General features: G+C 38.8%; 1 protein-coding gene across 13 annotated transcripts in view; it reads right to left on the bottom strand.

Moving 5' to 3' along the window:
• Nucleotides 1–13,161, bottom strand: part of MINDY2 (MINDY lysine 48 deubiquitinase 2) — a 90,599-nt gene that overhangs the window by 73,606 nt on the left and 3,832 nt on the right. For all 13 annotated transcript variants that reach the window (XM_011521687.3, XM_011521688.3, XM_017022332.3 and 10 more), the window contains exon 2: nucleotides 332–389. In XM_011521687.3, the coding sequence (XP_011519989.1) occupies nucleotides 332–389 (58 nt within the window). The remainder of the gene's footprint in view (nucleotides 1–331; nucleotides 390–13,161) is intronic.

The raw sequence follows: 13,161 nt of genomic DNA, 5'->3' as shown, positions 1-13,161 counted from the left end.
TACCCAATATTTTTGAACACTTTCTACATGCAATGTCAGCGATTCTGTACCATCTCCCATTCTACAATTTATTGGGATTAAGATGTATCTTGTTTTCTAGACGTTACCTAGATTCCTTATGGGTATTACAGAATTTTAATGCTGGTCAGAAAGAAGACTATACCATCTAAGAACAGTAACATACTGATAAAAATTTTTAATTAGCAGATTCAAAACTATAATTTTAAAATAGATTATATAATAGCACTTCAGAAAGGTGAGACTGGGTAATCAACTAGCTTTGAAAACTTTTGTTTTGAAAGAGATATAAAATCCACTTTTCAACACTAACCTAAATATTCCATCAGCTGCTCAGCAGTTATGATTTCCATCATCGGTGGAAGTTTCACCTGAAAAACAAAATATTATTTCTATAAAATTAAATGTTTTAGGTGACTAAAGTATTTCTTGCAGTCAGAAACACAAATACTTATGTCTAATTATGTATCTACTATACTTATACATTAACATTCACATATATTAGAATCTTTATAGCCAGGCTTTTTTTTTTTTTTTTTTGAGACGGACTCTCGCTCTGTTGCCCAGGGTGGACTGCAGTGGCGCAATCTCGGCTCACTGCAAGCTGCGCCTCTCCGGTTCAGGCCATTCTCCTGCCTCAGCCTTCCGAGTAGCTGGGACTACAGGCACCCACCACCACACCTGGCTAATTGTTTTGTATTTTTAGTAGAGAGGAGGTTCTACCTGTTAGCCAGGATGGTCTCAATCTCCTAACCTTCTGATCCACCTGCCTCGGCCTCCCAAAGTGCTGGGATTACAGGTGTGAGCCACTGCACCCAGCCTATAACCAGTCTTTACTGTATTATTCTATTTATTAGGTTGGTGCAAAACTAATTGCGGTTTTGCTATTAAAAGTAATGCAAAGCTTAAAAACAGGCAAAATTTAACTATATTGTTTAGAGCTGCACACATAGGAGATAAAACTATTAAGAAGTAAAGAAATGGGCTGGGCACAGTGGCTCCTGCCTGTAATCCCAACACTTTGGGAGGCCAAGGTGGGCAGATCACTTGAGGTCAGGAGTTGGAGACCAGCCTGGCCAACATGGTGACACCTCTGGCCTGGGCAACAGAGTAAAAAAAAAAAAAAAAAAAAAAAAGTAAAGAAATGGGCTGGGCATATGGGCTCACGCCAGTAATCCCAGCACTTTGGAAGGCCAACGCAGGCGGATCACGTGAGGTTGGGAGTTCGAGACCAGCCTAGCCAACATGGTGAAACCCTGCCTCTACTAAAACTACAAAAATTAGCTGGGCATGGTGGCGCATGCTTATAATCCCAGCTACTTGGGAGGCTGAGGCAGAAGAATCACTTGGACCCGGGAGGCAGAGGTTGCAGTGAGCCAAGAATGCACCATTGCACTCCAGCCTGGGTGACAAGAGTGAAACTCCATCTCAATAAAAAATAAATTACTAAGTAAAGAAACGGACGCTATAAAAAATCAAGATTATGGTTATCCCCAGTGGTAACAGAAGGAGTTATAGTTGGAAAGGGGCTTTTAAGGGGATTCTGAGGTGCTGACAATGCTCTGTTCTTCGACCTTCTTGACCTGCAATAGTAGTTCCAATGATGTTTGCTTTATAATAATTTATTAAACTGGATATCTGTTTTATGTATTTTTCTATGTGTTATATTTCACAATAAGAAGGTTAAAAGTAAAGATACGTTATAGTGATATTTAAACTAAAAACCCCAGAAAATCCATTAAAATTAATTCAGCTGCAACAACACATTAGTCTAAATTAATTGTTCAAATGCGTTGTCAAATGAATGACATGGATATTACAGTCAATGATTGTAAATACTTTAGCTGACAGTGACGAGCACATTCCAGGATATATTTATAGACTAGGAGAAAAAATAAATACTGTAGGATGGAAACTCAAAGTAATTACTATATCAGTGATAGAAGAATAGTAACATTGTTAAAAATTCTTCACCAATTATTTTGTGTTCATCCAAAGAAATCCTTTAAATCAGCAATTTCTCCAACAATTCCCCCAAATGTTGAAAAAGGTCCTCTAGGTGTTTACGTTATCAAATGTAATAATGTCACAATTTTGTTTTAATCAACAAGTAAAATAAGTTTTTAAAAAGATCCCTATAAAACAGAATGGTTTGAAGCCATCTGTAAGCATATATGACAGTCAATAGTTATATTTAGTCATCCAGTAGATTTATTATTCAGTAAAAACCAAGAGATGTCTTTGAAGTTTGATCATCATTTCATTCTAAATTATTTTTATTCTCTGTGACATTTTTAAATAATTTCAGGTCAGGCCTGGTGGCTCACACCTGTAATCCGGGAGGTTGAGGTGGGCAGATCACTTGAGGTCAGGAGTACGAGACGAGCCTGGCCAACTTGGTGAAACACGGACTTTACTAAAAAAACACAAAAATTAGCCAGGTGTGGTGGCGCACACCTGTAGTCCCAGCTACTTGGGAGACTGAGGCAGGAGAATTGCTTGAACCCGGGAGGCGGAGGCTTCAGTGAGCAGAGATCGTGCCACTACGCTCCAGCCTGGGTGACAGAGTGAGACTCTGTTTAAAAAAAAATTCGATAGATTATTTTTTTAAAGCAGTTTTAGGATTTACAGAAAAACTGGGCAGAAAGTACAGAGAGTTCCCATATATGGCATATTTTTAAACTGAAACTCCGGCAAATTACTGTCGACTGTCTGTTTTTCTAAATAAACGTTTTTTTGGAACACAGTCCCTCTCATCTGTTAATGTACCATCTCTGGCTGCTTTTGCACTACAATGCAGAGATGAATTTGTGCAGCAGAGACAGTATGGCATGCAAAGCCTAAAATATTAGTATTTACTATCTGATCCTTTACAGAAAAAGTTTGCTGATCTCTGCATTAGATGATTTTTTTTTTAGAAGCAAATACACAAATATTTCGACTCACTTACTTACAAGCAAAGTCAGTAGTATATTCATTTCCTGAATCATAGCCAGTAAAGTACTTTGGATGTTTATTAAAACTAAAAAGTGCCTACTTCACACTAATACTGTGGAGCCATCCACAGATCTTAATTATTTTTTTAACCATCTAAGATCTTCCCAAAAGCTTGCTTTTCTTTTTTTTTTTTTTTTTTTTTTTGCTTTCCTTCACCACCATCACTTCAAAAGCAAGTGCCAAGGGTTTTCTTAATGACCTAATAAGGCTTGTACTCCTTTGTCTTTTTAGATTTTTTCAAAGGAGAAACAGGTTATGAGATAGTTGGCTAAGAATACAGAATTAACAGTTGTGGCAGTCTGTCTGATTTTCTAAATTTTAAGCTTTACAATGAAAAAAATAACAGGCTGGGTACGGTGGCTCACGTCTACAGTCCCAGCACTTTGGGAGGCTGAAGTGAAAGGATCACTTGAGCCCAGGAGTTTGAGACCAGCCTAAGCAATACAGGGAGACCATGTCCCTACAGAAAAAGTCCCAAAACAAACAACAAAACTTAGCCAGGTGTGGTGGCACGTGCCTGTAGTTCCAGCTATTTGGGAGGCTGAGGTGGGAGCACCACTTGAACCCAGGAATTTGAAGCTGAAGTGAGCCGCTATCATGCCACTGCACTCCAGCCTGGGCAACAGAGAGAGATCCGATCTCAAAAAAAAAAAAAAAAAGGAAAGAAAGAAAGAAAAGAAAGAAAAAAATGACAAATCAACTATGACCTATTTTAGTAATTATCTACAACATAAAATAAATAAGTACTTTAACATATACAAAGGCACTTGGAAGGCACTTTAAGTAGTTTAAATATTCTCCGTAAAATTTGAACAAAGTATCTCAACATATATTAACAAATAGCTCCCAATTAATAGAGGCCAAATAAATTTTTATTATCTAGGAAAATGTCCTACCCTATAAATATTACTGAATTAACTAGATTTCCTGAGGAAATTATTATTATTATTTTTAAGACATCATGTTCTCACTGTCCTCCAGGCTGGATCGCAGTGGCAGGATCATGGCACACTGCAGCCTTGACCTCCCCAGCTCAAGCAGTCCTCCCACCTGAGCCTCCCAAGTAGCTGGAACTACAGGCACGCACCACCACACCTGGCTAATTTTTGTATTTTTTATAGAGGTGGGGTTTCACCATGTTGCCCAAGCTGGTCTTGAACTCCTGGCCTCAAGCAATCCTCCTACCTCAGCCTCGCAAATTGCTGGTATTACAGGTGTGAGCCACTGCACTCGGCCCTGGAAAATTATTAATATAAGCACAAGAATATTTAAATTAATAAAAGAAAATAGCTACTCCGACTCCAAATATTCCATTATAAGGTAAAACCTCAAAAATTTAGCCCAATTATTCTATCGTCCAGGCTGGAGTGCAGTGGCAAAATCATGGCTCATTGTACCCTCAACCTCCCCGGGCTCAGGTGATGCTCCCACCTCCACCTCCCACATAGCTGGGACCACAGGTGTGCGCCACCATGCTTGGCTAATTTTTTGTATTTTTTGTACAGATGGGGTTTTGACATGTTGAACAAACTCCTGGACTCAAGCAGGAGCCCAGACTTCTGCTTAAATCTGCCTGCCTCAGCCTCCTGAAGTGCTGGGATTACGGGTGTAAGCCACCATGCCCGGACCATTCTGTAATTCTTAATCATCTAAAGAGTAAAGTAAATTTGGGAATAGACTCAAGCAAGACCAAAAATACTAACAACAAAACCTTCTGTTTAAACTGTAAGTGAAATCTTAAACAGGAATGTAAAACATCCTAAGAGTGATATGCCAAGGTTTTGACACCTATGATTTTGATAATCCAAAGGAAAAGATAAATGCAGGGGACTCAGCAATAACTAAGAAATAAGAAGCAGTTTATGTAGGTGATGACAAGTACAAAAATTACTACTAGCCAAATAATGTTTTTAAATGCTTAACAATTAGAATACCAATATAATAAGTACTCAACAACACACAGTTTGAGTTCCAACACCTCTTCAAAGTTGGAAGATATTTGAGAAAATATAAAATTGAGTATTTGCCAGTCTCTGCTCTTTAGAAAAAAGAAGTCAGGGGCCGGGCAGAGTCGGTCACTCCTGTAATCCCAGCACTTTGGGAGGCCGAGGTGGGCGGATCACCTGAGGTTAGGAGTTCAAGACCAGCCTGGCTAACATGGTGAAATCCCGTCTCTACTAAAAATACAAACAATTAGCCAGGCGCGGTGGCAGGTGTCTGTAATCCCAGCTACTCAGGAGGCTGAGGGAGGACAATCACTTGGGCCCAGAAGACAAAGGCTGCAGTGAGTAAAGATCACGCCACTGCACTCCAGCCTGGGTGACAGAGCAAGACTCTGTCTCAAAAAAAAAAAAAAAAAAAAAAAAAACAGAGAGAAAAAATTAAATATATTGAACATCTACTAATTGTCATTCAATTTTATGTTACCTGAATCCTCAGCAATCCTATGAAGCAGGCATTATTACCTCCATTCAAAGAATAAACTAAGGCTTTAAAAAGTTAATTTAGCCAAAGTAAGTAGAAGTACTGTGATGAGAAGTGAGATCAGACACCAAAGCCAATTACCAAATTACCAATTACCAAAGCCAATTATCAATACTCACAGACTTTTTTAAGAACAGCAGAACACTTTCCACTCAATGAAATCTTATACAAAACATAATTGACAGAACTTTGTGACCAGTGAAAAGTGAAGCACGATGAGGAAAGAATAATAAAAGTTGACTCTAAGGCTCAGGAAACTCTGAAAATTAAGATCCATACAATTGATAACAATGGAAATTTGGCAAGTGAAGATTAAGTTTGTAGAAGAAAATGATGTCTGCTTTGGAACTGTGACATTTTTAGTTTGACATTCAAACAGGGAGTTGAATTTGGAACACAGAAGATAAGATTTTTATTTTGCAGTCTATTTTTGCATTACTTATGTAAGGCAAAATGGACGCACTAAATAATAGTCAAAATTTCACTAATTTGAAATATGCAGTGTATATACACATGTGTGTATATATGTAGCATTTATATATTCAGCATGAATATATAGTATTCATGATTTTTTAGTAGAAATTGTAAAGAAATTATTCTTTAGAAAATATTAGAAGTATTAATGGGAATCAAAGAGAAGCTTTACCCGCTTTTTTCAAAATAAGGACTCAAAAACTTAAGGATTCTTTTAACATGCCTTTAATTCTGGCTCCAGCAAATAAAAATTTATGTATTATAAGCTATTACACATGTTTTACATTTTAATTTCTTGTATGTACTATTCATTTACTACTAGTAATACTATACTTAAAAATACTCAAATTCAGACTTTTCAGTGAATCTAATTGGCTTTCTACTTGCCATCAGTATTTCTTTCTTTTTTTTTTCTTTTTTGAGATGGAGTCTCGCTCTGTCACCCAGGCTGGAGTGCAGTGGCACGATCTTGGCTCACTGCAAACTCCGTCTCCTGGGTTCAAGCAATTCTCTGCCTCAGCCTCCCGAGTAGCTGGGATTACAGGCGCCCGCCACCACACACGGCTAATTTTTGCATTTTTAGTAGAGACAGCGTTTCACCATCTTGGCCAGGCTGGTCTTGAACTCCTGACACTGTGATCCACCCGCCTTGGCCTCCCAAAGTGCTGGGATTACAGGCATGAGCCACTGCGCTTCGCCACCATCAGTATTTCAAAACAGGAAAATTTTAGGAGACAACCCACAAGTTAAAAAGGCTTTGAAATTCTGAAACACTTTCATCAGTTTTTATCATAATTTAGACCCTATCCTCAGAGTAAGACCAAGGCCTATTTAAAACTGTCAGAAACTGCAGATATATTCACACATATTAAATTTGCAAGAATGTCTTATTTTATATGCACTTCAAAGTGTTTTAGAGCAATAAAGAATGTTGTTGCAGTGAGATTTACTAATAAAAGATTTACTAGTAGGCTGGGTGCGGTGGCTCATGCCTGTAATCCCAGCACTTTGGGAGGCCAAGGTGGGCTGATCGCCTGAGGTCAGGAGTTCAAGACCAGCCTGGCCAACATGGTAAAACCCTGTCTCTACTAAAAATACAAAACAATTAGCTGGGCATGGGGGCAGGTGTCTGTAATCTCAGGTACTTGGGATGCTGAGGCAGGAGAATAGCTTGAACCCAGGAGGTGGAGGTTGCAGTGAGCCAAGACCACACCATTGCACTCCAGCCTGGGCAACAAGAATGAAACACTGTCTGGAAAAAAAAAATTAACTAGTAAAAGAAGGCATCTTCCATTCAGAATTCACTATTTATATTTAAGAAGCTCAGCAAGCTTACTAGGCTGAAATATCTCCCCCCTCAAAAATTGATAATAAAACTTTTACATTAATTGCTTGAAAGATGAGAATAGGGTAAGACAAGAGACCATTTTGAAGGCTACTAAGGTAGTCCAGGTGAGAGATAAAGGCCTGAACTAGGGTAGTAGCAGTAGAAACAGAAGTTACTAATGACTGAAAAAATCCAAGAATATATTTAATAAACTACAATGGGAAAGGCCAGCTGATTCACCTTAGTGCCCCAAAGAGACTCTGAAACTAGAAGTGTCAGACACTTCAGGAGACATAAGATAAAGTACAGAGAGCTAAAAACCGGAGTCTGTATAAAGACCAACTGGTACCAAGATCCCAGGAATCGATCTAAGGAATCATGAAGTCCATTTCTGCTTCTCTGACTTTATCATTGGCTGTCCCACCCTGTTTTGCCCCAGACCTACTGTCCACCAGACTTATTGCTATCTTGAACTTTATCTTCCCAATCAAACATCCTGAGTGAGAGCTCTGGTTCTAGAGTGGGTGATAATCTTACCTTGGACTAGTTATTTAAACTTTATGCACTTCAATTTTCTTTCTTTTTTTTTTTTGAGATGGAGTTTCGCTCTTGTTGCCCAGGCTGGAGTGCAATGGCGCTATCTCGGCTCACCGCAACCTCCCTCCCAGGTTAAAGTGATTCTCCTGCCTCAGCCTCCCGAGTAGCTGGGATTACAGGCATGTGCCACCACACCCGGCTAATTTTGTATTTTTAGTAGAGAAGGGGTTTCTCCACGTTGGTCAGGCTGGTCTCAAACTCCTGACATCAAGTGATCCGCCTGCCTCGGCCTCACAAAGTGCTGGGATTACAGTGTGAGCCAACCACACCTGGCCTCAATTTTCTATATATATAAAATAAGAACAATAGTCTACATAAGGATTTCATGATGTGGTTGAGAAACTTAAAAGAGAAAACACATACAATGCATGTAAAATAATGCACAGTATCTGGACACAAAAATAACTGAGTACTTACTATTATTATTCAAAGCCCCTATGATTGCTAGTACCACCTGGGCCCAAATGTCCTTCACCTGGGACTCAACAGACAAGGTTGAATGGGGAGTGAGAAGGTTTTTAACTAAAAGACTACTCATACCAAGGGGAGAAGAAAAAATGAACACATCTATCACTATTAGAGGGCAACTCCTACTGGCGGTATTTATACTCTCCTCAGCCCTTGTCTACCTTATCTTACAAATCCAGAGTTACAACACCAATTCTAATTCTTGGAGGAGACTGGGAATGAAAGCCTCAGAAAATGTTACTTAAGTCTTTTGTGTAAACAAAACCCCACAATTGTGTGAAGTTTTAATCTCTTTTTACAGGATCTATATTTAAAAACAAGGTGGGCAGAGGCTAAGATGGAACCTTTGGCTCACCATCTGTTTTTCCTTTTTTATAAGTAATAAACACACTTGGAAAACCTCAAAAGAGCTCTGTGCTACTTCAGGAAGAGAAAATTTGTGTGATTACAATGTTTCTGCAAGTCAGAGGAAAAAGCATAACCTAGATGGAAACTAGGAGAGTATGTGAAAGAATCTGAGGGAAAAAAGTCATCAAGGAGGTAGGGAGAAATAGAGCAAAAACTCAGCCCTGGCAAGAGGCTCACCTTCATGGTGCCTCACTTTGCAGGTGATGAGACAATAGCATACGTCCATTCGAACTTTGAATTTTCTGTTAACAGCCTTTTGTTCATTTTGCCATTGTGCTGTTCACCCTTTTCTAATTTATAAGGGCTCTTTGTAAATTAAGAAATTAGGGTTGGCCATGGTGACTCACGCCTGTAATCCCAGCACTCTGGGAGGCTGAGGCAGGATTACTTGAGGCCAGGAGTTCAAGGCCAGACTGGACAACATGGTGAGACACATCTCTAAAGAGAAAAAAAAAAAAATGGTTGGGCACAGTGGCTCACGCCTGTAATCTTAATAGTTTGGAAGGCTGAGGCGGGCAGGTCACTTGAGGTCAGGAGTTCAAGAACAGCCTGGCCAACATGCTGAAACCCTATCTCTACTAAAAATACAAAAATTAGCCGGAAACTGCATGAACCCAGGAGGCAGAGGTTGCAGTGAGCCAAGATCGTGCCACTGCACTCCAGCCTGGGCGACTAAATGAGATTCCGTCTCAAAAAAAAAAAAAAAAAAAAGAAAAAAAGAAAAAAAATTAGGTGGGCATGGTAGCACACACCTGTGGTCCCAGCTACTCAGGAGGCTGAGGTGGGAGGATTGCTTGAGCTCGGGAGGTCGAGGCTATTCGGAGCCATGATTGCACCACCACACTCCAGCCTGGGTGACAGAATGATAGTCTATCTCAAAAAAAAGAAAAAAAGGAAATTAGCCCTTAGACATATAATCTGGCAAACAGTTCCCTTAGTTTTTAGTGTGTTTTGATTTAGTTTATGGTGAGGTTTTTTTTTTTGGTGTGTGTCTGTTTTTTTAAGCTTTTTTTTATTTTACAGAATCAAATATATTAATCCTTATTTTACAGTTTCTAGGTTTGATGTTTGGAGAAACCAACTTTATATAAAAAAAATCCTGCTTCAGGACCCTGGCATTCCTCCCATGACTTGGAACAGGAGATAATCTCAGCTTATACTAAGCAAAGAAAAAAATTGGGAAAAGAATTCCCTACCAAAAAGAGTTAAGAAGGAAAGGAGATGTGTTTCCAGCATCTTAAATTAGTGCATTCATTTTTCTACTAAAATGCTATACAATGACTAGATATTGCAATACTCTATCTTCTCTATCACAATGTATAGTATAGGTTACATGTAAGTTTTTTGTATGTATGTTGGCCTCAGAACCTATAACATTCTTTCTAAAATAAAAAAAAAGTATAACCAAGTAGGGATTCCCTCTATTACTAAAGAAATATCTTTGTAAGCACTAAAATATATATGTTATATACCTTCTGGCTTAACTTCATAAACACCTAATTACATGGGTCACAGCCCTCAAATAAACCTATAAATAGCACTTATTACAGCTAAAATAAGATTTTTAAAAACTATTAAAAATCAAATATAGTCAAAAAGAAGCAAAACAAAAATGTATTCTAAGTCATACATTTTGATAAATTTACCTGGTATAATTTGTAATTTGAGCCCAGGAGTTTGAGACTAGCTGGGGCACTATAGTGAGACCCCGTCTCCATAAAAAAACAACAAAAAGGAAAAATACAGAGGTAGATGAAACTATCTCTTGAAAATGAGAGGTAAACAAAATTACAAATTTGAGCTCGAATTAAATGTAATAAATAGATGTCTTTCTTGATGTTAGAGCATCACAGCTCAACTATTCAACAGATTTTCTTTTTTTATAATTAAAAAAAAGTTTTTTTTTCTTTTATAGAGATGGGGTCTCATTATGTTGACCAGGCTGGTCTCAAACTCCTGGGCTCAACTGATCCTCTGGCCTCGGCCTCCCAAAGTGCTAGGATTCCAGGCGTTAGCCACACTGCCTAGCCAACTACTTAATAGATTATGAATGATCGCCTACTCTCTAGCAGTTCTGAACCAATACTTTCAACTCAGTCCTTACTCTGTTTGATCATTTTTACTGTCACTTCTCATCCAGAACCACTACACTTACTCCTTTGCTCAAATCCTCCCGGTTTGTTCAGTCTATTGATTTTCTAATAATTTCAGATGATCAGCTGTTTTCACTTTCAATTCTCTAATTCTCTGCCCCTATACCCCAGGTGTCAGTTCTTGAAAGAAAAGCCCAAGTCTTGATAACTCTAACCAGTCATTCTTCCTGCTCCTATTTCCGGACATAAGCGAACTAGGGAAAGACCAAAAACAAAGCAAAACTGATATGCTAATAGTTTTTAAAGAAAACCTCAATTTATTCATGCTACTAATTGTCAGTCTTTCTGTTTGTGCCTCAAATTCCTAAGCATAATCTCCACTGAGATTCTCCTTTAAAATGCAATATGCTTTTCTCACAAAATTCACCGGGTCAAATGCTTTACAATCTTAATTATTAATGAGTTCAATAGTTACTACTTATTAGTTCAATGGTTACTTTGCCAAACTGAAAAATATGAGGCTTCAATTTTCATCTACCTCTCTTTTTTCCTTATTATAATTTTTTTTTACAGAGATGGGGGTCTCACTATATTGCCCCAGCTGGTCTCAAACTCCTGGGCTCAAGCGATCCTCCTGTGTTAGCCTCCCACAATGCTGGGACGACAGGCATGAGCCACCACACACGGCCTACCTCTCTATCTTAACGTGACCTTGTCTCTGTATTTTTCTTGTTCCATTCCTCCCACTACTTCAGAAAATACGGTTGTTGTTCCTTTCCTCTAAAGAGAACTGAGGATTCCATGTTATCCTGACTTTTCAGTGACCTTGTCCCTACACCTGTCATTTTCAGCAGAATCTTCCCTACTCTATTAGCTCTCTGATGCTGCTGCATTTGACAATAGTAATGTACTACATTTTTATTACATTCTCTTTCCCTGAATACTATCATGACATTGCCCTATTTCTAGTTCTCATTCCACATCTCAAATTGTGCCCATGCTGGTTTTTCACTCTCTCACCCTTAATATTCTTCCCCTCCTTCCCCAGTGTAATCTTTATTCCTCTGTTTTCTCTCTGTCTCCTGGAGAATGAGGTAGGGGAGGAGAGGGAATGGGGAGACTGAGGCAGGATGGAGAGGATGTTTCTGCTGGCAATTTGTCACTCTCACATATATTGGGATGGAAGAAAAGTTGAGAACTATTGCTCACTACTCTCTGGAGAATTCATTTAGTCTCATATTTACTCTATGTAGTACTACCATATTTACTCTATGTAGTAATTTCCCAATTTGATTTTTCTCTATAATTTTATAGCCTCTTGCAGGTGGATCACCTGAGGTCAGGAGTTCGAGACCAGCCAGGCTAACATGGTGAAACCCTGTCTGTACTAAAAATACAAAATTAGCTGGTGTGGTGGCACACATCTGTATTCCAGCTACTCGAGAGGCTGAGACAGGAGAATCACTTGAACCCGGGAGGCAGAGGCTGCAGTGAGCCAAGATCCTGCCACTGCACTCTAGCCTGGGCAAGACAGAGTGAGACTCTGTCTCAAAAAAAAAAAAAAAAAAATTTAGCCTCTTTACTGAGACCCAGTCCATGCTTCTAACAGCATAACGAACATTTATATTTTTATGCCCCCCACTGGACATTTCCAACTCAACACAACCAAACTTTGGCATCAACTTTCCCATCTAAAATAATTCCCTTCATACCTTCCCTATCTTTGGAAAGATCCAGCCAATCTCTATTACCCAGGTTTGAAAAATGCTGTTACTGTCTTCACTTCTTATAGTCATCATTGGGAGAAGTCATCATTGGGAACGCTACATTATCCTCATCAAAGAGGGGGACAAAGAACTCTCTAACCAAAGCGCTATCTGCATCAATTCTTCGTGCTACACTCACTACAATCTTACTTCTAGCCTAATATCAAAGTAAAAGACCACTTTCTTCATGTCATTTCTTTATCTAGCAATTTATAATAGCTCCAATATCAGCTATATATAAAGTCTAAACACCTATAGCCATGGGTCCTCTGAAATCTGACAACCACCTTCACACCCCATTTACTGTTTTTCTCTACTAAAGCATTTCTCAAACTTTTTGTTCCCAGAGCCCTTTACAGTCTTAAAAATGATTGAGGACCCCCAATAACTTTCATCTATGTGGATATCTATCTATATCTACCTTATTATAAATTAAAATTGAGAAAAATTTAAAACACAAAGTACAGAGGCACACATTGCATTAACTGACAGAGCGATGTCATTACATCATGTAGCCTGAAAAACTCCA

This window comes from Homo sapiens, chromosome 15, assembly GCF_000001405.40.
Source record: "Homo sapiens chromosome 15, GRCh38.p14 Primary Assembly".
Classification (NCBI taxonomy): Eukaryota; Metazoa; Chordata; class Mammalia; order Primates; family Hominidae; genus Homo; species Homo sapiens.
The sequence above is the reverse complement of the archived record's forward strand: the minus strand, read 5'-3'. Positions and strand labels throughout refer to the sequence as shown.